At 44.9% G+C, this 22,553-nt stretch overlaps 4 protein-coding genes and 1 non-coding gene across 8 annotated transcripts in view, besides 6 other annotated features; all 5 read left to right on the plus strand.

Annotated features, from left to right (window-relative positions):
• The window catches only part of UBN2 (ubinuclein 2), a 99,192-nt gene extending 93,423 nt beyond the window's left edge, over positions 1-5,769 (plus strand). The window contains exon 16 of the mRNA XM_011516003.3: positions 4,579-5,769. Coding sequence (XP_011514305.1) covers positions 4,579-4,620 — 42 coding nt within the window. The 3' untranslated portion in view covers positions 4,621-5,769. The remainder of the gene's footprint in view (positions 1-4,578) is intronic.
• Positions 1,394-1,573: a silencer, noted in NCBI's record as "fragment chr7:139010799-139010978 (GRCh37/hg19 assembly coordinates)". NCBI's record gives its function as "represses an EF-1alpha promoter that drives an FKBP-Casp9 reporter gene in an ReSE screen in phorbol 12-myristate 13-acetate-treated (for megakaryocytic differentiation) K562 erythroleukemia cells {active_cell/tissue: K562(+PMA)}" and the evidence as "EXISTENCE:reporter gene assay evidence [ECO:0000049][PMID:32094911]".
• FMC1 (formation of mitochondrial complex V assembly factor 1) lies at positions 15,813-21,669 on the plus strand. Of its 4 annotated transcripts, NR_073058.2 has the most exons (3): positions 15,813-15,960; positions 20,238-20,331; positions 20,842-21,669. NR_073058.2 is itself a non-coding variant. In NM_197964.5 (2 exons), exons 1-2 carry the CDS (start codon positions 16,726-16,728, stop codon positions 21,043-21,045), a joined length of 342 nt encoding a protein of 113 aa, NP_932068.2. In that variant the 5' UTR covers positions 16,678-16,725; the 3' UTR covers positions 21,046-21,669. The 4 variants fall into 4 exon arrangements, 1 of the variants encoding a protein (NP_932068.2); NR_073059.2 differs by lacking the exon at positions 20,238-20,331; NR_073060.2 differs by lacking the exon at positions 20,238-20,331 and having other exon boundaries at positions 15,813-15,940.
• LUC7L2 (LUC7 like 2, pre-mRNA splicing factor) overlaps positions 15,813-22,553 on the plus strand; it is an 82,983-nt gene continuing 76,242 nt past the window's right edge. The window contains exon 1 of the mRNA NM_001244585.2: positions 15,813-15,858. The gene's annotated coding sequence lies outside the window, so the exon portion shown is untranslated. The remainder of the gene's footprint in view (positions 15,859-22,553) is intronic.
• Positions 15,859-15,918: an enhancer, noted in NCBI's record as "active region_26755". NCBI's record gives its function as "activates an Ori minimal core promoter by ATAC-STARR-seq in GM12878 lymphoblastoid cells {active_cell/tissue: GM12878}" and the evidence as "EXISTENCE:reporter gene assay evidence [ECO:0000049][PMID:35858748]".
• TRR-CCT4-1 (tRNA-Arg (anticodon CCT) 4-1) lies at positions 16,041-16,113 on the plus strand. The gene has a single exon. It is a non-coding gene; the product is annotated as a tRNA-Arg (tRNA).
• Positions 16,229-16,298: an enhancer, noted in NCBI's record as "active region_26756". NCBI's record gives its function as "activates an Ori minimal core promoter by ATAC-STARR-seq in GM12878 lymphoblastoid cells {active_cell/tissue: GM12878}" and the evidence as "EXISTENCE:reporter gene assay evidence [ECO:0000049][PMID:35858748]".
• Positions 16,329-16,398: an enhancer, noted in NCBI's record as "active region_26757". NCBI's record gives its function as "activates an Ori minimal core promoter by ATAC-STARR-seq in GM12878 lymphoblastoid cells {active_cell/tissue: GM12878}" and the evidence as "EXISTENCE:reporter gene assay evidence [ECO:0000049][PMID:35858748]".
• Positions 16,654-17,221: an enhancer, noted in NCBI's record as "NANOG-H3K27ac-H3K4me1 hESC enhancer chr7:139026059-139026626 (GRCh37/hg19 assembly coordinates)". NCBI's record gives its function as "activates a minimal SCP1, AML or CMV promoter by ChIP-STARR-seq in naive and primed H9 embryonic stem cells {active_cell/tissue: H9 hESC(naive and primed)}" and the evidence as "EXISTENCE:reporter gene assay evidence [ECO:0000049][PMID:30033119]".
• Positions 16,669-16,918: an enhancer, noted in NCBI's record as "active region_26758". NCBI's record gives its function as "activates an Ori minimal core promoter by ATAC-STARR-seq in GM12878 lymphoblastoid cells {active_cell/tissue: GM12878}" and the evidence as "EXISTENCE:reporter gene assay evidence [ECO:0000049][PMID:35858748]".
• FMC1-LUC7L2 (FMC1-LUC7L2 readthrough) overlaps positions 16,678-22,553 on the plus strand; it is an 82,118-nt gene continuing 76,242 nt past the window's right edge. Inside the window, exons 1-2 of the mRNA NM_001244584.3 lie at positions 16,678-16,863; positions 20,842-20,962. Coding sequence (NP_001231513.1) covers positions 16,726-16,863; positions 20,842-20,962 — 259 coding nt within the window. The 5' untranslated portion in view covers positions 16,678-16,725. The remainder of the gene's footprint in view (positions 16,864-20,841; positions 20,963-22,553) is intronic.

The raw sequence follows: 22,553 nt of genomic DNA on the forward strand, positions 1-22,553 counted from the left end.
AATAACGTGCTAAAGATTTTTCAGAATATGGCCGGGCGCGGTGGCTCACGCCTATAATCCCAGCACTTCGGGAGGCTGAGGCGGGCAGATCTCCTCAGGTCAGAAGTTCGAAACCAGCCTGGCCAATATGGCGAAACCCCGTCTCTACTAAACATACAAAAATTAGCCCGGTGCAGTGGTGGACGCCTGTAATGCCAGCTACTTGGGAGGCTGAGGCAGGAGAATGGCTTGAACCTGGAGGCAGAGGTTGCAGTGAGCCGAGATTGCGCCACTGGACTCTAGCCTGGGCAACAGAGCAAGACTCCATCTCAAAAAAAAAAATAAGATTTTTCAGAACAACGAAACATACTGAATTACGTGTTGTCAATAAAATACACAATCATAATCTTTCTTTACTGAGAGAAATTAGGACTTTTTAAAATGTTGATAAAAGTATTTTCAAAATATGTGTTTCATTTTTAAAACATTTCTATTTTTTCATGTTTTATAATGCTTCCATAGTAAATGTATATAATTTAAAAATAAATACAAAGGATTACAGGGGAGGAACAAGACTTTTACTGATATGAGTACATAATATAAAAAAGTTTAGAAATCACTGCTTTTTTTTTTTTTTTTTTTTTTTTGAGACAGAGTCTTGCTCTGTCACTCAGGCTGGAGTGCAATGGTGCGATCTTGGCTTACTGCAACCTCCGCCTCCCGGGTTCAAGTGATTCTCCTGCCTCAGCCTCCTGAGTAGCTGGGATTACAGGTGCCCACTACCACGCTCAGCTAATGTTTTGTATTTTTAATAGAGAAAGGGTTTCACCATGTTGGCCAGGCTAGTCTCGAACCCTTGACCTCAAGTGATCCACCTGCCTCGGCCTCCCAAAGTGCTGGGATTTGAGGCATGAGCCACCATGCCCGGCCGAAATCACTGCTTTCAGACACAACATCTATAGCATCACACTCGACAGAAGTGCATGCACACGCATGTATACTCTGATGTATACTCATTTTCATCAGTCTTGGCACTTGCCCACCAAAATCTCCCCCCAGTTATGGTAGCACATCCAGGTTGCCAGTCCTTGCTGTAGTTGAAGAGTAAAGATTGGGCCCTCGGAGTCTGTCCCCACAGTTTCGCTGGGCATAGTAAACTGTTGTCCCAGAGCTCCTTTACCTTCACATAAAGATTGAAGGACAGGATGGAGGTGACCTGACAATGGCTGGGGAGTGGAGGTAGGGTTTCTTTAGTTAAAAACATGGGCATTGCACCGGGCGGTGGCTCACGCCTGTAATCCCAGCACTTTGGGAGGCCAAGGGGGATGGATCACTTGAGGCCAGGGGTTTGAGACCAGCCTGGTCAACATGGAGAAACCCCATCTCTACTAAAAGTACAAAAATTAGCCAGTTCGATGACCAGCCTGGTCAACATGGAGAAACCCCATCTCTACTAAAATTACAAAAATTAACCAGGCGTGGTGGTGTGTACCTGTAGTCCCAGTTACTTGGGAGGCTGAGGCAGGAGAATCGCTTGAACCCAGGAGGCAGAGGTTGCAGTGAGCCAAGATTGTGCCCCTGCACTCCAGCGTGGGCAACAGAGCAAGACTCTGTCTCAAAACAAACAAACAAACAAACAAACAAACAAACAAAAAATGGGCATTGCCCCATTCAGCATATGTACACACACACACGTTGAAAATGGCAGAACCCTCCTATCATTTGCCTCTCAGCTCAAATATCACCTTCTGAGGAAGGACCTCCAGAACACATTACAAAGCAGCAGGTCCAGTCCCCAGCCCTGGCTTTATTTTTCCCCATAGAACACATCACCCTTTGACAAACTTTGTTTTGCTTGTTATTTATCATTATCTGCCCACCTCTCGAACAGAAGCTTTGTGAGTATAGGAACTTTTACCTATTTTGCTTGCTCTGATTTCCTTAGCACCTAGAAGAGTGCCTAACTCATAGCAGGTGTGCATTAAAATTCATTGAATGATAAAATATTTGCTTTCCCAGGCTTCCTTGAAGCCAAGACATGGGCACATCACCCAGGCCATGCCAATTAGAACCACTCACTTGAGAACATGACCCAGATAATGACTTAGACTCATCCTGGCACATATGGGAGCAGAGAAGCCAGCCACTGCCAGTGTGCTGTAGCAGCAGCTTTGGTGCAGGTGTCTGGGTCCAGCCCAGGGCCACTGTGTCACCACTGCAAACTGTGGTGACTGTGCCTGGGATTGTTTTCACTGAACCAGATCTGTGGCAGGATTTGGGTGAGGTTGTTGGCTGTGTCACTCCCAAGCCTGGTCTCTAGCCTTACCAGAAAATTGTGAGAGGCACCCCGCATCCTTTTAATGAAAGTATTTTCTTCTTCTTTTCTTTTTATTTTATTTGTTTATTTTTTTTGAGACAGAGTTTCACTCTTGTTGCCCAGGCTGGAATGCAATGGCGCGATCTCAGCTCACCGCAACCTCCGCCTCCCGGGTTCAAGCGATTATCCTGCCTCAGCCTCCTGAGTAGCTAGGATTACAGGCATGTGCCACCACACCCAGCTAATTTTGTATTTTCAGTAGAGACAGGGTTTCTCCATGTTGGTCAGGCTGGTCTCGAGCTCCCGACATCAGGTGATCTGCCAGCCTCAGCCTCCCAAAGTGCTGGGACTACAGGCGTGAGCCACTGCACCCAGCCCAGAGCCAACATTTTATTATTTACTCTGTGTATTAGTCTATTTTGTGTTACTATCACAGAATACCGCAGACTAGGTAATTTATAAAGAAAAGAAATTTATTTCTCATAATTCTGGAGGCTCGGAAGTCCAATATCAAGGTGCTGGCATCTGGTGAGGGCCTTTGTGTTGTGTCAGAAGGCAGAAGGGCAAGAAAGCAAAAGGGGCCCAAACTCACTTTTATAACAAGCCCACTCTAGTGACCACGAGCACTCTGCAATAACAATATTAATGCACTCTGCCCTCGTGACCTAATCACCTATTAGGCCTCACCTCCCAACACTTGCACTGGGAACCTAGTTTCCAACATATGAACTTTGGGGAATACATTCAAACCATAGCACTCTGCCTTAATGAACTAATAGCATAGAATGGAAGATAAGAGTCTTGTGGCAGTTCAGTAAGTCCAGAATTCGTATCACCCCTTACCACAACAGTTATTGAAGACCTATTTCCAGAAGATTATCCCGCTTCTTCAGGGCTGGCTAAAATCTGCTGCATCTCAGAAAACTGCTTAAATTTCTATCACAAGGAGAATAACTGATAGAATTCTCCCTAATCCCTCCTGTGTATTTGCCCTTTAAAACCATATACTTGTGAACTAGAGGTTGATAAAATAAACATGAATGTGAGTGGGACAGATTAATTCATTCTCCTTAAGTTATATAGTTTCCTCTTCTGTTGACTCTGAAAGTGTCAGGATTCCAGCTAGGGTTTGAAAGATTATATCAAAAAGGGCTGTATTAGTCTATTTTCACACTGCTATAAAGAACTACCTGAGACTGGGTAATTTATAAAGAATAGAGCTTTAATTGATTCACAGTTCCACATGGCTGGGGAGGCCTCAGGAAACTTACAATCATGATGGAAGGTGAAGAAGAAGCAAGGCATATCTTACATGGTGGCAGGGGAGAGAGTGGAGGGGAAAGTGCCACACTTTTAAACCATCAGCTCTTGTGAGAACTCACTCACTGTCGTGCGAATAGCAAGGGGGAGATCCACCCCCATGATCCAATCACCTTCCACGAGGCCCCTCCCTTGACATGTGGGGATTACCATTTGACATGAGATTTTGGTGGGGACACAGAGCCAAACCATATCAGGGGCCACAGCTAGAGCCAAACCCTGACAGGGACCTCGGACAGAAGAGCTGCTAGAGTGAGAAGTCCTTACTCTGAGCAGTTGCATCCTGGCTCACATGGAAGATGATGGAGCTGAGACATAGGTCATCTAGCTTGTACTGGGAAAGAGTCCAGGGAAAATTAGGATGAATCATGACTCACACCAGAGATGAACCAGCATCAGCATTATGAAACTCACAAAAACATGTTAAATCAGAAATCAGATAGTCAGGTATGGTGGCACATGCCTGTAGTCCCAGCTATTCAGGAGGCTGAGGCAGGAGGATTGCTTGAGCTGGGGAGGTTGAGGCTGCAGTGAGCTATGATCATACCACTGCACTCCACAACAGACTGAGACCCTGTCTCAAGAAAAAAAAAAAAAAGGAAAAGAAATTAGAAACCCATCAGTAGAAACTAAAGATTAAACTCAAATGCAGAGGTTTTTAGCAGCAATTTAAAAATCATGAACTTCAGGCAGGCTGAGATGGCTCACACCTGTAATCCCAGCATTTTGGGAGGCTGAGATGGGAGGATCACTTGAGCCCAGGCATTTGAGACCAACCTGGGAAACATAGCAAGATCCAATCTCTATTTTTTTTTTAATTATAAACTTCAAGGCCAAGGACAGAAATTCGTGTGAAATAAAGCCAGGGAATGATTTAGAGGTCAGTATGGCCAGTTGCTGTGAGCAAAAGATTTTTTTTTTTTTTTTTTCAAAAATAAGACTTGTTTCTTCTTTTCTTACAGGGGCCTTGCCTTAGAGATGTCTCTGAACAATTTGGACCCTGACAAGAAGGGTCAAGGAGAAATCGGATACTCTTGTGATTCCCCCAGTCAACCACTGTTCCAGTTGCTTATCTGCTGAGACAGCAGTTCTTGACCCCAGCTACACATTAAGCTTAAAAAAAAAATTACTGTTGCTTGGACCCTAGCCCAACTTGTGAATCAGAATTTCTGGGGGTGGGTCCCAGCCACTGGTGTTTTTGAAAGTCTCCCTGGGTAATTCTAATGTATATTCAGTATTGAGCCCCACTGGCCTGACACTTTCATTCCCACTGAAACAGAAGTAATCCACTACAGAGGAGAGAAGGTTGTTCCATTCTAAGCCATAGGAGTTTTTAGTTATCATAGCTCCAAACCCATAGGAACTGGCGTGAGAGCATTCTTACGTGGGTGATGGATGTAGGAGCTCCAGGATGCCTTGGAACGTCTTGTCCCAGTATGTTTCTGCTTGTACAGGTATTCAAAATGAGGGCCAAACCCTTCTTTGGAATCCAACTCTGCTCTAGGCTAGTTGGCTGCCCCCAGACCAGGATTTAGCACCAACAAACTGAGAATGTGATCAGAGGACTGGGGCCACTAACATAACTGGAAAAGAAAAGCAGAAAAGCATTCTCCCAACTCCTGTTCAATTAATTCAACAAATAGCTGTGGCCATGGCTGCAAAGGTACCAAGGTGCAATGACTAAGAACTCTAGCTTTGGGGTCAGATAGTCCTGCGTTCTCATGCTGGCTCCACAAGGCCCACAAGCTGTGCACTCTGGGCAAGGTACCATATGAGCCTGAAGTTCCCATCTCCCCCTAAGAAAATCCCCAGAAAAGAGTTTTCTTGTAGTGAAGCCCTTACAACACCTGTCATATTATAGGGTGCCCCCTCAATTACTTTACTTGGAAAAAGAACTATTTGCTTCAAATGTACATCACCTTAGATGACCTCAATTAATGCAAGTTTGGGGTATCTATAGAGGCCAAAAACCAAACAAAATCAGTTTTTTTAAGTGACAGAGAAATTTTTCAATTTTTAAGTGTATGAGAAATTCATAACATTTATCATAACTGTTTTAAGTGTTAAGTATGTTTTCATTGTTGTGAACTAGATCTCCAGATCTTGTAGAACTGAAACTGTGTACTCATTAAATAACTCCTTTTTGCCTCTTACTTCCAGCTCCTGGTAACCACCATTCAACTTTCTTTATCTATGACTCTGACAACTGTAGATACTTCATATAAGTGAAATCATGTAGTATTTGTCCTTCTGTGACTGGCTTATGTCACTTAGTGTAATGTCTTCAAGGTTAGTCCATGTTGTTTGTCATGTGACAGGATTTCCTTCCTCTGTAAGGCTGAATAATATTGCATGATATGAATAGACCACATTTTATTTATCCATTCATCCACTGATGGACACGTGGGTTGTTTCCACCTCTTGGCTCTTGTGAATAATGCCGCCATGAATGTGGGTGTACAAATATCTGTTTGAGTTTCTACTTTGAATTCTTTTGGATATATACCCAGAGGTGGGGCTGTTGAATCTTATGGTAGTTCTATTTTTAATTTTTTGAAGAACTGCCATACAGTTTTCCATAGTGGTTGCACCCTTTTACAATACCACTGTTGGGTTTTTTCTCACACCTCTTCAACACCAAATGAGGGTAGTTGTTTTTTTCCCTTCCTGACACCAACCTATTCTCCAACTCTCCAGACACCAACCGAGAATCCTACCATTCAATTCCATTTTGACAGTAACTACCCAGAGTTACTATAAGACTCACAGCTTTAAGCATTCAGTCCCACAAGACTGCCTTCACTTACACGACCTGGGCCAGTCTCCAGTATTGGGTCCCCAGGTTACCCACACTTCTGTCTGACATAACTATAAATTCAGGGGTTCCCACAATCCTCCCAGATTTGATAATTTGCTAGAATGACTCACAGGACCCAGGAAAGTGCATTACTTACTATCGTCAGGTTATTATAAAGGATACAACTTAGGAACAGCTGAATGGAAGAAATAAATAGAGCAAAGTATGGGAACGGGAAAAGTGGAGCTTCCATGCCCTCTCTGGGTATACCATCCTCCTAGCACCTCAATGCATTACCAACCCAGAAGCTCCCAAAACCCTGTTGTGGAGAAATTTTAGTGGCAGTTTCATACACCGTCATATGTAGCCCTGACTGATTCGATCATTGGCCATTGCAGATTGACTCAATCATAACCTCTCTCCTCTCCCAACAGAGGCATGGCTTTCAGGAAGAGAAAGTATTTCCCCTCTACTGAAACCAGGGCAGGCAATTAGGAGGGTTGTGGAGAGAGGATGAGAGGATTTTTTGTCAGTGAGCTACTGTGTTGAAAAGTGGATCTGGGCCGGGCACGGTGGCTCACGCCTGTAAACCCAGCACTTTGGGAGGCCGAGGCGGGAAGATCATGAGGTCAGGAGATCGAGACCATCCTGGCTAACACGGTGAAACCCCATCTCTACTAAAAATACAGAAATTGGCCGGGCACGGTGGCTCACGCCTGTAAACCCAGCACTTTGGGAGGCCGAGGCGGGAGGATCATGAGTTCAGGAGATCGAGACCATCCTGGCTAACACGGTGAAACCCCATCTCTACTAAAAATACAGAAATTGGCCGGGCACGGTGGCTCACGCCTGTAATCCCAGCACTTTTTGGGAGACCCAGGCGGGCAGATCACGAGGTCAGGAGATCGAGACCATCCTGGCTAACACGGTGAAACCCCGTCTCTACAAAAAATACAAAAAAATTAGCCGGGTGTGGTGGCGGGCACCTGTAGTCCCAGCTACTCGGGAGGCTGAGGCAGGAGAACGGCGTGAACCCGGGAGGCAGAGCTTGCAGTGAGCCGAGATCGCACCACTGCAGTCTAGCCTGGGCAACAGAGTGAGACTCCGTCTCAAAATAAATAAATAAATAAATAAATAAATAAATAAATAAATAAATAAATAAATAAAAAGTGGATCTGCCGGACACGGTGGCTCATGACTGTAAACCCAGCACTTTGGGAGGCCAAGGTGGGTGAATCACTTGAGGTTAGGAGTTTGAGACCTCACTGGCCAACATGGCGAAATACCTTCTCTACCAAAAAATATAAAATTTAGCTGGGTGCAGTGGCATGCGCCTGTAATCCCAGCTACTCAGGAGACTGAGGCAGGAGAATTGCTTGTTGAACCCGGGAGGCAGAGGTTGCAGTGAGCCAAGATGGTACCACAGCACTCCCGCCTGGGTGACAGACTGAGACTCTGTCTCAAAAAAAAAGAAAAAAGAAAAGTGAATCGAATGGAATACAGTATATCCTTCACTGAGGTTTCACCTTCCATTTTGTTACCTGCTATCAACTGATGTCTGAAAATAGGTGAGTACAGTAGTTAGATGTTTTGAGAGACCACATTCACATAAGCTTTATTATAGTATACTGTTATAATTATTCTATTTTATTAGTCATTAGTCTCTTACTGTACCTAATTTATAAATTAAACCTTGCCATAGGTATGCGTGTATAGGAAAAAACAGTCTATATAGGATTCAGTACTATCTGCAGTTTCAGGCATCCACTGACGGTCTTGGAACGTACAGCCCTCAGATAAGGGGGAACTACTGAATAGGCACAGAGTGAAAGTACAATTGTTTGAAAAAGCTGATAATGTGCTGGGGAATGCTGCATAGAAGCTAATATTATGCCAGTGGCTTTTGAGGGGAAAAAAAGCTTTATTATCACAAGTCAACTGGCAAGGAGATAGGAGGGAGGCAGCGGTCAAACTTGTCTCCCCAGTCTGTGGGTGGGTCCAGCCTTTATGGCCTGGCCATCTAGTCCCAGGTGATGCCAATGTAGCTGGTCTGCCAGGCTGGTGGTAGTAACAATTAGGAGGTTACAGCCCTTTCTGTTTCACATGCCTGGACAATTTTGGCTCTGTGTCACCTCTCACAACTTAAGTAATGGTTAATCAGCTTGAGCTTGTCCCACGGCTACAAAAGGAAGCTCAGTCCCTAGATGACTTTTTAGAGCAGAGCTGCCCTACTAACCTGGAATGACCACTTCTAGACTATTATGCAAGAGAAATATTTTTTATTTAATTTTTAATTTAAGCTACTGTGTTTGAGGTCTCTTTCTTACAGCAGTTTAGCCTTTAATTAATACATATAAGAAATCAGTTCAGAAGCCGGGCGCGGTGGCTCACGCCTGTAAGGCTCAAGCCTGTAATCCCAGCACTCTGGGAGGCTGAGGTGGGCGGATCACGAGGTCAGGAGTTCGAGACCAGCCTGACCAACATGATGAAGCCCCATCTCTACTAAAAATACAGAAATTAGCTGGGCCTGGTGGCGCATGCCTGTAATCCCAGCTACTTGGGAGGCTGAGACAGGAGAATCGCTTGAACCCAGGAGGCGGAGGTTGCAGGAGCCGAGATCGCGCCATTGCACTCCAGCCTGGGCAACAGAGTGAGACTCTCTCAAAAAAAAAAAAAAAAAAAAAAAGAAATCAGTTCAGAAAGAGAAGACAACTGATATATACACAGAGCTTTCTGACCTGACTTCATCTGCTTAAATATACAATTTTTTTTTTTTTTTTTGAGATGGAGTTTCACTCTTGTCACCCAGGCTAGAATGCAATGGTGTGATCTTGGCTCGCTGTAACCTCTGTCTCCCAGTTCAAGCGATTCTCCTGCCTCAGCCTCCTGAGTAGCTGGGATTACAGGTGTCCACCACCACACCTGGCAAAGTTTTGTATTTTTAGTAGAGATGGGGTTTCACAATGTTGGCCAGCCTGGTCTCAAACTCCAGATCCACCTGCCTTGGCCTCCCAAAGTGCTGGGATTACAGGCGTGAGCCACCGCTTCCAGTCTTTTTTTGTTTGTTTGTTTTGTTTTTGAGACAGAGTCTTGCTCTGTCACCCAGGCTGGAGTGCAATCTTGGCTCACTGCAACCTCTGCCTCCTGGGTTCAAGCGATTTTTGTGTCTCAGCCTCCCAAGTAGCTGGGATCATAGGTATGCACCAGCAAGCCCGGCTAATTTTTGTATTTTTAGTAGAGACGGGGTTTCACCATGTTGGCCAGGCTGGTTTTGAACTCCTGACCTCAAGTGATCCTCCTGCCTCGGCCTCCCAAAGTGCTGGGATTACAGAAGTGAGCCACCATGTCTCACTAAAGTGTACAATTTAATGGTTTTTGATATAACTGAAACCACTACCCCAAATGAGATTTTTGTCACTATAGATTGAGTTGGATTTTATATAAATGGATCATATAGTATGTAGGCTTTGTGTCTGGTTTTGCTCAGGATAATGACTTTAGATTCACCCATGTTATCACATGCACCAGTAGTTTGTCCCTTTTTATTGCTGAGTAGTATTCCACTGTACTGATAAGCTGCATTTTATTTATTCGTCCCTGTTGATGGACATTTTAATGAGTCTATTATTCACACATCGAGGGTGACTCCAAATGTGGTGTCATTTCTTTTATATTCAACCTCATTTTCAAGTGGTCAAGCAGTCCCTAAGCAACAGCTCAGTGCCTAACACTGCAGTAGTTTCTAGGCTGACTTGCCAAACTTCCACAGAACCAGTCAAGAAGGAGACAATGAGTCCAATGGGTTCAGATAGTTTATTATTTACACAGACAGCAAAAGCAAGATGGTGTCTGCTCCCATGTCCCCAGCCCAGCAGGATGATGATGAATCATAGCTCATGATGATGAAGATAGCGCAAGTGGTGGACTGCTCTGCCATGGAGCCAAATCCAAACTACAGCCAAGGTGTTTTACAGACTTACACAGAAGTCTGCAGCTGTACCATAAGTTAGAATAAAGTGGAAAGTTCCGTGCTCAACTGAAATTAGACAAGTTGATGAGAAATGGCCTTGTAGCAGTCTCCCAAAAAATAGGGATCAGAAACTGCCTTACAGTAGCTCCTTACCGGGCATATTGCCTTTTGCATCAGGAGCAATCACAGGGCATTCTACTGAAAAGTGGGGAAATAGATTTTGGGGGTGCCTGACTGCAATATACATGACCTACATGGAGACGTGCATGGTTGCCAAGATGCCGTGGCAGACCATTCCTACACTCATCATATGCCATAATGACATTTTTTCTTTTCTTTTCTTTTTTTTTTTTTTTAGATGGAGTTTTGCTCTTATTACTCAGGCTGGGGTGCAGTGGCACTATCTCAGCTCACTGCAACCTCCGCCTCCCGGGTTCAAGTGATTCTCCTGCCTCAGCCTCCTGAGTAGCTGGGATTACAGGTGCCTGCCACCATGCCCGGCTAATTTTTTGTATTTTTAGTAGAGATGGGGTTTCATCATGCTGGCCGGACTGGTCTCGAACTCTTGACCTCAGGTGATCCACCCGCCTCAGCCTTCCAAAGAGCAGGGATTACAGGCGTGAGCCACTGCACCTGGCTTCCATAATATCTTAAGTCACATGCCATAACAACAAAAATGCACTAAAAAATCACTAGCAGAATGAATTTGTGTAATTCACTGAGCTTGAAATTTCTCACATAAAATAAAAGTAGCATCTAAATGAATTCCAAGGTCACTTCTATGTCATCTGAATCAATTCAGAATTGTGACTGTACCAAATGATTGTCATTAAAGTCATCATGCTAGGTGCATACAACCTGATAGTCAGGTTTCACCTCAGTAAATTATATACTTTTCCTCAAGTCTTTTTATTACAAACAGCATAGCAAATAAGAACTAAATAAATAAACTGTTTAGGTTTCCTTTTTTTTTTTTTTTTTTTTTTTTGAGACAGAGTTTCTCTCTTGTTGCCCAGGCTGGAGTGCAACGGCACCATCTCGGCTCACCGCAACCTCCACCCCCTGGGTTCAAGCGATTCTCCTACCTCAGCCTCCCAAGTAGCTGGGATTACAGTCATGCACCACCACACCCAGCTAATTTTGTATTTTTTTAGTAGAGACAGGGTTTCTCCATGTCAGTCTCGCTAGTCCCGAACTCCTGACCTCAGGTGATCCGCCTGCCTCGGCCTCCCAAGTGTTGGGATTACAGGCGTAAGCCACTGCGCCTGGCCAATTGTTTAGGTTTCTAAGAGTCTCAGGAAAACTGTCCTCCTTGGAGGTTCTATGTGATCTATCTCTATTTGACAATTACTGGAAAAATGATGGCAACTGAGACAGCTGCCTCAAGATATCATCACTCAGGTACGACATATTCCATAATGGTGGGCCATCTCCAAACAAAGCTAACAGCACTTTGCAGGTTCTGTCGTGGAGATCAGCTATTCCAGGGCCAGCCCCAAAGACCAAAGACCATAGCTCCACACGGGAGCTATATTACATCATCATAATGACCCAGATAGGTACCAAACTCTCTGGGTGATAGTTTTAATTTAATTTAATTAATTCATTAGTTTGAATAATTATTTTATTGTGTTTTAATGTTTTTACTCTTTTAAAACCTTCTGGCTGGGCGCAGGGGCTCATGCCTGTAATCCCAGCACTTTGGGAAGCCAAGGCAGGCAGATCACTTAAGGTCAAGAGTTTGAGACCAGCCGGGCCAAAATGGTGAAACCCCATCTTTACTGAAAATACAAAAAATTAGTCTGATGTGGTGGTGCACGCCTGTAATCCCAGCTACTCCGGAGGCTGAGGCAGGGGAATCGCTTGAACCTGGGAGGTGGAGATTGCAGTGAGCTGAGATCGCGCCACTGCACTCCAACCTGGGTGACAGAGCAAGACTCTGTCTCAAAAATAAATTAATTAATTAAATAAACCACTTCAAAAAGAAAAAAAATGTCTGGTGTGATGGCTCACGCCTGTAATCCTAGCACTTTGGGAGGCCAAGGCGGGTGTATCACTTGAGGTCAGGAGTTCGAGACCAGCGTGGCCAACATAGTGAAACCCCATCTCTATTAAAAATACAAAATTACCATCCTGGCTAACATGGTGAAACCCCGTCTCTACTAAAAATACAAAAAATTAGCTGGGCTTAGTGGCGGGTGCCTATAGTCCCAGCTACTCAGGAGGCTGAGGCAGGAGAATGACGTGAACCCGGGAGGCGGAGCTTGCAGTGAGCCAACATTGCGCCACTGCACTCCAGCCTGGGTGACAGAGCAAGACTCCGTCTCAAAACAAACAAACAAAATTAGCTGGGCATGATGGCATGCGCCTATAGTCCCAGCTACTCGGGAGGCTAAGGCAGGAGAATCACTTGAACCCGGGAGGCAGAGGTTGCAGTGAGCTGAGATCTTGCCACTGCACTCCAGCCTGAGCAACAGAGTGAGACTCCATCTCAAAAACAAAACAAAACAAAACAGAAACACCTTCACAAAAAGAAAAAAAATTTTTTTTGAGACAGGGTCTCACTCTGATACCCACGCTGGAGTGTAGTAGCGTGATCAAGGCTCACCACAGGCTCAAGCGATCCTCCCACCTCAGCCTCCCAAGTAGCTGGGAATACAGGCACACACCACCATACCTAGCTAAGTTTAAAATTTTTTTTGTAGAAGTGGGTTTTCGCTGTTGCCCAGGCTGGTCTCAAACTTCTGAGCTCAAGCAATCCATCTGCCTCAGCCTCTCAAAGTGCTGGGATTACAGGCGTGGGCCACTGCTCCCAACAATTATTATTATTTTAGAGACAGTGTCTTGGTGTCACCTAGGGTGCCATGCAGTGGAGAGATAATAGCTCAATGCAGCCTTGAACTTCTGGGCTAAGTGATCCTCAAACTACTGCATAGCTAGAACTACGGTCACGCACCACCATATATACATCGATTTTTTTTATAGAGACAGAGTCTTGCTTTGTTGCCAGGCTCCTGGGAGATTTAATTCTATCACTGTACACTCGGTTAAATAATTAGTTGGTGTGTCTAGCCAAAAAGTAGTATCCGAAAACCCTCAGTATCTGGAAATACGTACGAGTGGGGAACTTTTTTTTTTAGACAGGCTCGCACTCGCTGTGTCACCTAGGCTGGAGTGCAACCTCTGCCTCCTGGGTTCAAGCAATTCTCCTGCCTCAGCTTCCAGAGTAGCTGGGACTACAAGCACGCACCGCCACACCCAGCTAATTTTTGTATTTTTAGTGGAGAATGTGTTTTTGCCACGTTGGCCAGGCTGGTCTTGAACTCCTGGCCTCAAGTGATCCGCCCCCCCTTGAGCCTCCCAAAGTGCTGGGATTACAGGCGTGAGCCACAGCACCCGGCCAAGAGTGGGGAACATTTAAAATGGTAATCTTGAGAAGGCTGTTTAAGATGTGTAAGTTCCTTAATTTAGCCAGTGTGGTAATCAGCTGAGGGTGCTGAAGAGTGACCTATAATGAGGCTGGGTTTTGAACAGAATCTCACATGTTAATACAAATGAGTTTATTATATTTTGTATTTATTATCAGGAGCATTTTTTTCCTAAAGATAAGGCAGGGTATCAGGCTAAGGAGATGATAGGAAAGAAAAAAATCATTTAAAAACTTAAAAAGACAATATAGTTGTAAAAATTTTTCTAAAAAGAAAAAATAAAAAGGCAGGATCATCAAACCAGCTTTTTTTCCCACGAACTAGGCACGCCACATGTTTTTTACCTTTTCTTAACTTCAAATCCTATCGCCCTTTTTTTCTTCTTTCTTTACAGACTAGAAGTCTGTGGGCTGTTTGGCATGCAGTACTTTTAAAGTATTCATTAGTGGCCAATATTTAGAAGGAAATCTATAGCATTAAAACAGATTTCCAGAGTTTCCTGAAAAAAAAAAAGGTTTTTAAAGGATTTGCTTTCCTAAAATGGCAACAATCAGTGGAGGTGAGTAATGGCTGCCCCCTGGACAGGTGGGCTAGTTGCTGTCCAGTTCACCAGGTTTCCAACCAAGCCAGCTTTACTCATTAATGAACAATTGATGTTCCATTTGTTTGTCATTCCTGCTCAGTAGCTTATGTCTCCTAGCCACTGGGGCCAGACAGTGCCAATCCCTTTAGGAGCTTCAGACTAAGCTGTTATGACTATGCTACCAAGGAATAAGCCTGGTGAAGAAACAGGCTTTTCTGTTAGGCACAGGGCTTTCGGAGCTGAACAATTTCCCAGTCTGATGGAAGAGACTGACAACTACAGTATGGAGTAGTGGCCATGTACCTACATTAAGAGTTATTTACGATGAGTAAATAAAGGGAGCAACAGGGGACCAGAGGAGGTGAAATGAATAATTTTCACCTTGCCGTATTGACTTCAAGGGCCTGGAGAAGCGTCTAACCTAGACTTCTGGAGTAAGCTGAAGCCCAAAGGGTAAAGAGGCATATTAATACAAATGGTTAAGTTTCAGGCAGAGGGAATATCAGGTAAGGTGTGTGGTGGGGAAGAGACAATGAAAGTGGAGATACCTGGAGCAGAGGGTGATAAGCGAAAAGTGAGAGATGAAGATTAAGGTACAAGCGAGGATCAATTTATGTCGTCTGAGCTTTATCTTAGGGACAATGGGAAGCCCCTGTGATACTATAAGGGTAAGTTTACTGGGACTCCGAAGTGATTTGTTCGTTATACAATTAGGAACAGAACCAAAAAATGAACTGCTAATTTTTAAAATTAATTCCTAATCAATGTACTATTACTTCCCCGCTGTCCCATGTTTATCGCTGACGCACCAATTCAAAGGACACGGCACATGTTTCTTTTTTTTTTTGAGATGGAGTTTCGCTCCTGTTGCCCAGGCTAGAGAGCAATGGCGCGATCTCGGCTCACTACAACCTCCGACTCCAGGGTTCAAGCAATTCTCCTGCCTCAGCCTCCGGAGTAGCTGGGATTACAGGCATGCGCCACCACGCCCGGCTAATTCTGTATTTTTAGTAGAGACAGGGTTTCTCTGTGTTGGTCAGGCTGGTTTCAAACCCCCGACCTAAGATGATCCGCCCGCCTCGGCCTCCCAAAGTACTGGTATTACAGGCGTGCGCCACCACGCCCGGCCTGCGGAAATGGCCTCAACGCTTCAACCGGAAGCAGAAATTGACCGCGGCAGGCGCCATCTAACGGCCGCTGGAGCAAAGCTCCTCCTGGAAATTCGCAACACCGGAAAAGGTCCGGCTGCTTCCGGTAAAAACCCACCAGAGCTGACGTTCAGAGGGCGAGTCTCGAAGATCCGGCCAATTTGCCCAGCGCGCTGTGCTCCGCGACGGCGCATGCCCGCTTTTGCGCAGGCGCGGGGACTACGGCGCAGGCGCGGAGACTATTGCGCAGGCAAGCGCGTACGCAGAAGCGTGCGCGCGCCCGTTCAACGTCCGGAGCATCGGTGCAGTTTCGAGGGTAAAGCCTTTGGCGCGGTGATGTGGACTTTTGTTCTCTAACTACAACTCCCAGCATACGTCACCCCTCACGTGGGCGCTAGGTGTGGTTTCGTGGGATAGGGTAAGGCGAAAATGAAGTGACGATGACGTACCAAAGAGGAAAATAGTTGAATATGTTGTGTGAGCGCGTCGTTTGCAGAAGCCCCAGTGGCCTAATGGATAAGGCATTGGCCTCCTAAGCCAGGGATTGTGGGTTCGAGTCCCATCTGGGGTGGCCTGTGACTTTTGTCCTTTTTTCCCCTTTCTAAACAAAGCGAAATATGCCAACTTTACTTTTTTTTTTTTTAAATGGGAAGTGTGTGTGTGTTTTTACTAGCTGGTGGGCTGCAATTTTCGAGAATCTGCACACACCCATGTCCTTTGTCTGAGCCGCAGGTCCCCTGGGATTTGGGGAGACGTCAATACGTTGAATTTTGATATCCCTTTTATAAATCATTTAAAAATGTCTTCTCAGCGTGTTCCATATCAAATCCACACCCACACCCCCCGCCGGGCCCGCTTCTCCTGAGACTCAGCGGTTGGTCGGCTAACGGGCATCTTCAATGACGCAGTGAAGAAAAGCCCCTGTTTCCCCAAACCCTTGTTCTGGGTTAGAGGTCCTGGTACCTTCAGTTAACAGTCGGGTTTCGTTTGATTTTGTTACGGCGCCCCTGGGCCTTCGATTAATAAGGTTCGGTCAACGGACAAGTGAGCGGTTCCACTGCTCGTCAGTCGATAGGGGGAGTCGGTAGTCTGTCCGACCGTACCATTAGGCGCCTGGGCCGGAGGAGGGGTTTTCAGGGTCGTAGGACGCCGTTGGGCACCACGCTCGGAGAAGGACAGGACAATGGCGGCCTTAGGGTCCCCGTCGCACACTTTTCGAGGACTTCTGCGGGAGTTGCGCTACCTGAGCGCGGCCACCGGCCGACCCTATCGCGACACCGCGGCCTATCGGTACCTTGTGAAGGCTTTCCGTGCACATCGGGTACGGGAGCCATGTCCCGGGTGCTCTACGTGCTGGGGAGGGAGGAAGAGCCGGGTCTGGGCTAGGGTGGGGAGCACGGTGTTTAATTCCTGCATTTCTGAGGCCAACCCTCCCACGGAGCCCTGGTTCTGACCAAACCAACCCAGGCCCTAGGCTCCATGCTCTGGCATAAACTCGGGGACCAAAGGACCAGCGGGGGGGGGCGCAGAGTCGCTCTGGGGACGTCAGCCTGTCCTGCAGAGGGGCGGACCCGTCCCGAAGGATTTCATTGGCTGGTCTGTTGCCTCTGCGGAGGGCAGTCAGGAAAGTGGAATGGAGGATTCAATGCTGGGGATAAAACAATGAAGATGGAGTTGAAGGGTGTACTGTTGCTAGACTTAAAGCCACAGCATCTGGCCAACAATTTCCTCACCCGTCCCCTAGAAAAGTTATTCTAAGAAGCATTTCTTTTTGAGGCGGAAAAGAACAACTGGGCTTTAGGGAAGGAAACTTGCTGCCCTTGAGCAATGTGGGGAAAGGGAGAACGATCAACTGTCGAATTTCTGAGCCACGGACGTCAGAATGTAAAATCTTAGAACTCAAATTCACCTAGTTTTTAAAAGGTGGCAACGTTAGGGTCTGTGCTAGGAACCTGGTCTAAACAGGAAGAATCAGATGCACATGTGTCCTGTCCTTAAGACACTTGCTGCCCACCTAAGGAGCCATACAGTAAAGTACTGAGGATAAATAAGTGCTCAAGGTGTAGACAACAGGGGCTGGGGTATAAAGAAGGGGTAGTTAGGGAAGGTTTTCCGGAGGAAATTAATCAGGGACCTGAAGGCTAATTTGGAGTTAGCAAGTAAATTGGGGTTAGGGTCCAGGTTTAAAAGCTACACAATTGAAAGCCCAAGGGGAGAAAAATTGCCAGTTGAGAGTGGTTTAGCCCTAAGGTGTGGTGGGTGAAGTGGAGGTAGATGAAGTGGTAGGCCGAACAGGAACTTAAACTTTATTGTAAGTGTAATGGGAAGCCATTCTAAGATTGTGATCACCTCCCAGGTTCAAGCGATTCTCCTGCCTCAGCCTCCCGAGTAGTACAGGCAGGCGACATGCGACACCACGCCCGGCTAATTTTGTATTTTTAGTGGAGACGGGGTTTCTCCATGTTGGTCAGGCTGGTCTTGAACTCCTGACCTCAGGTGATCCGCCTGCCTCGGCCTCCCAAAGTGTTGTAATTACAGGCGTGAACTATCAAACCTGGCCCCATTCTAAGATTTTTAAGGAGGTGACATGATTATAGTTGTACCTTATGGGGATAACATTATTACCCTTGAGAGAGACTTGGTAATGGTTCTGAAATTCATGGTACATTCTGGAAATACCACTCTGGAATGCACTTGAGCATAGGGGAAATGGTTTCTGTTTCCTTCAGGCTCACAGCTAACTGAATAACCATCCCATTTTCTCTATCCTTTCCCTCCGGAGAAGGGATTCTATTAGGGAGAAACCTACCCTTTCTCCACAGGGAAAATACAGTGTTCTATTTCATTTGATCTCTTTTGGGTTCTTGTGATCTATTTACTGTTTCCTGTCTATTGCTGACCCTTTTGTCCTCATGATTCAGGCTCAACCGAATCAAGAGCAGTATTCTATCCTACATTAACCTAGAATTCCCATGTCAAATTCCACAAATTTGGGCTTATATATTAATAGAAGTGGATGCTATGATTTGTTAATGCTTGACATTGGTGTTGATTTCTCATAAAATTTAAATTACTAAAAAGTTAAATTTGTATTAAAGCAGATTAATTCTGTTTTTAAGCAGCTAATGAATGTTGCTTTCAACATGATCTGCAGATCCTAAAACCCACATTCTAACAGCATGGGCAACATAGTGTAGTGAGACTTCCTCTCCAAAAAATTTGAAAATTATCCAGGCGTGATGGCCCATCCTCTAGTTCCAGCTAATTGGGAAGCTGAGGTGAGAGGATCACTTGAGCCCAAGAAGTCGATCAAGGCTGCAGTGAGCCATGTTCATACCACTGCTCTCCAGCATAGGCCACGGAGCGAGACCCTGTCTCAAAAACCAAGAAGCCACACACATTCTAGTTTTCAGATTCTAACACTAGATATTCAAATAGAGAAAGGGGATTAGGCCAGGAGCGGTGGCTCACACCTGTAATCCCAGCACTCTGGGAGGAGGCGGCAGGTGGATCGCTTGTGCCCAGGAGTTCACGACCAGCCTGGGCAACATGGTGAAACCCTGTTTGTATAAAAAATACAAAAATTAGCCGGATATGGTGGTGTGCGTCTGTAGTCCCAGCTACTTGCGGGGCTGAGGCAGGAGGATCACTTGAGCTGGGGAGATCAGCAGCCATGTTCACGCTATTGCACTCCAGCCTGGGCAACAAAGTGAGACCCTGTCCCCAAAAAAAAAAAAAAAAAAAAGAGTTGGTGGGGGGCGTATTATGTAGGCAGTGGTGCCCAGATTTATCCACATTTGGACATGGCTCCTTTAGTCCCTCAGAGCTATGCACACATCCCCATCTCACCTTTCCTGCCCCTTTCTCACAGCCTTGAATACAGAACTAGTTAAAGAGGGTGCAGTGAATCTCAAAAGTTAAGTATGATGAAGAAAAAAGGTTTGGAATCATTTGGGGACTTTGGAATGGATATGGAATTTCTAGCTTCTTAAAGTCATGAGTCCAGAGTTTTCAAGATGGATAAGCAAATTGTAAGAGCGAGAATAGCCATTCCTCAGTAACTGTGGGGACTGGTTCCAGGACACCCCCCACCCCCACTCAGGAATACCAAAATCCATGGATGCTCAAGTCCCTGACATAAAATGCTGTAGTATTTGCAATATAACCTATGCACATCCTCCTGTATACTTTGTCATCTCTAGATTATAATACCTTATGCGGTGTAAATGCTATGTAAATCGTTGTTATACTACATTGTTTAGGGAATAATGACAAAACATATGTTTGGTAAGACATGATAATCCTTTTATTTTTTTCTGAGTATTTTTTATCACAAGTTGATTGAATCCAAAGATGCAGAACCCATGGATATGGAGGGCCAATTGTAATAAGTAATATGAACATAAGCATACTAGTTTTATACATGAAACCTTCATTTGTTACTATTTAGCACAAAGCTATCATTTTTCAGACAAAAGTTTTCAATTTTCTTTCTTTTTTTTTTTTTTTTTTTTTTGTTGAGATGGAGTCTCCTTCTGTTACCCAGACTGGAGTGCAGTGGCCCGATCTTGGCTCACTGCAAGCTCCGCCTCCTGGGTTCACGCCATTCTCCCGCCTCAGCCTCCTGAGTAGTTGGTACTACAGGCACCCGCCACCACACCCGGCTAATTTTTTTTTTTTTTTTTGGATTTTTAGCAGAGACAGGGTTTCACCGTGTTAGCCAGGATGGTCTCGATCCCCTGACCTTGTGATCTGCCCGCCTCGGCCTCCCAAAGTGCTGGGATTACAGGTGTGAGCCACCGCGCCCGGCCAAGTTTTCAATTTTCATTGTAATGAAAGGTATATGCCACATTAATCAAAGTCACAGAAATATAAATAAAGCAGTCCTTTATTTGCTTGAAAGGGAGAAAGTTCTACATAATATTCTTTAGGTGACATTAATGATGAGTGACCTAATTATAATTTCCATATCTACCATTAACCAACCTCTGAGCATCTCTGGACTTTAGTTTCCTCATCTGTAAAATTAAGGAATTGAAACTAGATGACTTCTTGCAGTACTGACTGAATACAGGGACATTCAATGCAACTCCTTTTAAAAATCCGAACTAGAGGTCAGCTTTACTAATAACTATAGAGTGCCTCTATAGATGTATTAAGTATACATGTATATACATACATGTCTGTATTTCCTCTGTGCAATTTACTTTCACTCTAGTGAATGCTTATTTATTAAATCTTTCTCTGTGGACCTGTATCTCTAGCTGGGTTAAGAATTTCTGACTTGCTGCTTCTCTAGGTCACCAGTGAAAAGTTGTGCAGAGCCCAACATGAGCTTCATTTCCAAGCTGCCACCTATCTCTGCCTCCTGCGTAGCATCCGGAAACATGTGGCCCTACATCAGGAATTTCATGGCAAGGGTGAGCGCTCGGTGGAGGAGTCTGCTGGCTTGGTGGGTCTCAAGTTGCCCCATCAGCCTGGAGGGAAGGGCTGGGAGCCATGAACATGGAGAATATCCTTGGATGCTGCATTCATAGGAGAATTGAATAATTTCTATCAATATGTATTTATCATTAAATTTTTTTTAAGTTTAAGGTTTTTCTCTGTAATTTTGTTTACTAGTTCTTAGGGGAATTAACTGGACATTTCATCTTTACTCTCAGTGAATTTACTGAACTTTTTGCACTAGACTGATGTTGTTTTTCTACTTAAAAAAATTTTTTTATATTTTATTTTAAAAGTAGTACAAGCCTTAGCCAGGCACGGTGGCTCACGCCTGTAATCCCAGCACTTTGGGAGGCCAAGGCAGGCGGATCACCTGAGGTTGGGAGTTCGCGACCAGCCTGACCAACATGGAAAAACCCCGTCTCTACTAAAAATACAAAATTAGCCAGGCGTGGTGGCACATGCCTGTAATCCCAGCTACTCAGGAGGCTGGGACAGGAGAATCGCTTGAACCCGGGAGGTGGAGGTTGCGATGAGCTGAGATCGCGCCATGGCACTCACTCCAGCCTGGGCAACAAGAGCAAAACTCTGTCTCAAAAAAAAAAAAAAAATTAGTATAAGCCTTTTGTTTAAGGAATTCAAATGTTATAAACATAAAATAAAAGAAACCCTCTTTTCCTTTGTCCTTTTCCCTTGTCCCCATTACCAGGTGGTCACTATTACTAACAGTTTGATGTGCATCTTTCCAGATATTTCCTACACATATACAATTATACATACATATCTCATTTAAAAATACATAAATTTGATGTGTTACAGTCCTGGCAGGAAATAGGTGGCACACTCAAATAGGGACATTGAGGAGAGTTAAAGGGATACATAAAGATGTGGGCGAATTAAGGTTGAGATGGTGAAGCTCTTAGGGGTTCTCAATAGTAGAGAGGTCTTTTTATATTTTATTTTTAACTGGGCAGCCCCTGAACCAGAATAGGTTACGAGAGACTCTCTACTAGAGAGTTCTAACCTCCCTAGGCCTGACCAATGCAGGCCCTTAGGCTGAGGAACATGGCCACAGCTCAGCTATAACCCACAGAGAGGGATGGATGAGTACATAGACATCTCTTTCTGTCTCCTAATCTTGTCAAATTGTTCCTTCTCTTGAACTCCCTATCTGGGCAAATAGCTCCACCATGCACTTGCTAACCAAGACAGAAACTTGGGCTTCATTTGGTATTCCTCTCTCCTTATTTTTCACAATTATTTAGCAATTTCAGCTTCTGCAGTAGCTCTAATAACCTTCTCCTCGTCTGTCTCCACTGCCTCTGTCCTAGTTCAAGCACTGAGAATCTTTTGGCTGAACCAATAAAATAGTCTCCTAAAGGGTCTATTTGCTTCTTATATCCTTATTTCCTCAAAAATCGTTCTCTTTCTGTGAATTGCCAACACTTATTTACCTTTGGCTCCTTTATGGTATATGTCAGTTTCTTCTGGTAGGTAGATAACCTCTTTTCTCGGGGACTATGTCTCATTCATCTTTGCAGTTTCCAAAGCACCTTCCACAGTGAC

Source organism: Homo sapiens, chromosome 7 (genome assembly GCF_000001405.40).
Source record: "Homo sapiens chromosome 7, GRCh38.p14 Primary Assembly".
NCBI classification, from domain to species: domain Eukaryota; kingdom Metazoa; phylum Chordata; class Mammalia; order Primates; family Hominidae; genus Homo; species Homo sapiens.

Coding starts and splice junctions, on each gene's coding strand:
- FMC1 (NM_197964.5), top strand. CDS start 16,726: ATGGCGGCCTTAGGGTCCCCGTCGCACACTTTTCGAGGACTTCTGCGG. Junction 16,864..20,841: donor AGGCTTTCCGTGCACATCGG/GTACGGGAGCCA, acceptor CTGCTTCTCTAG/GTCACCAGTGAAAAGTTGTG.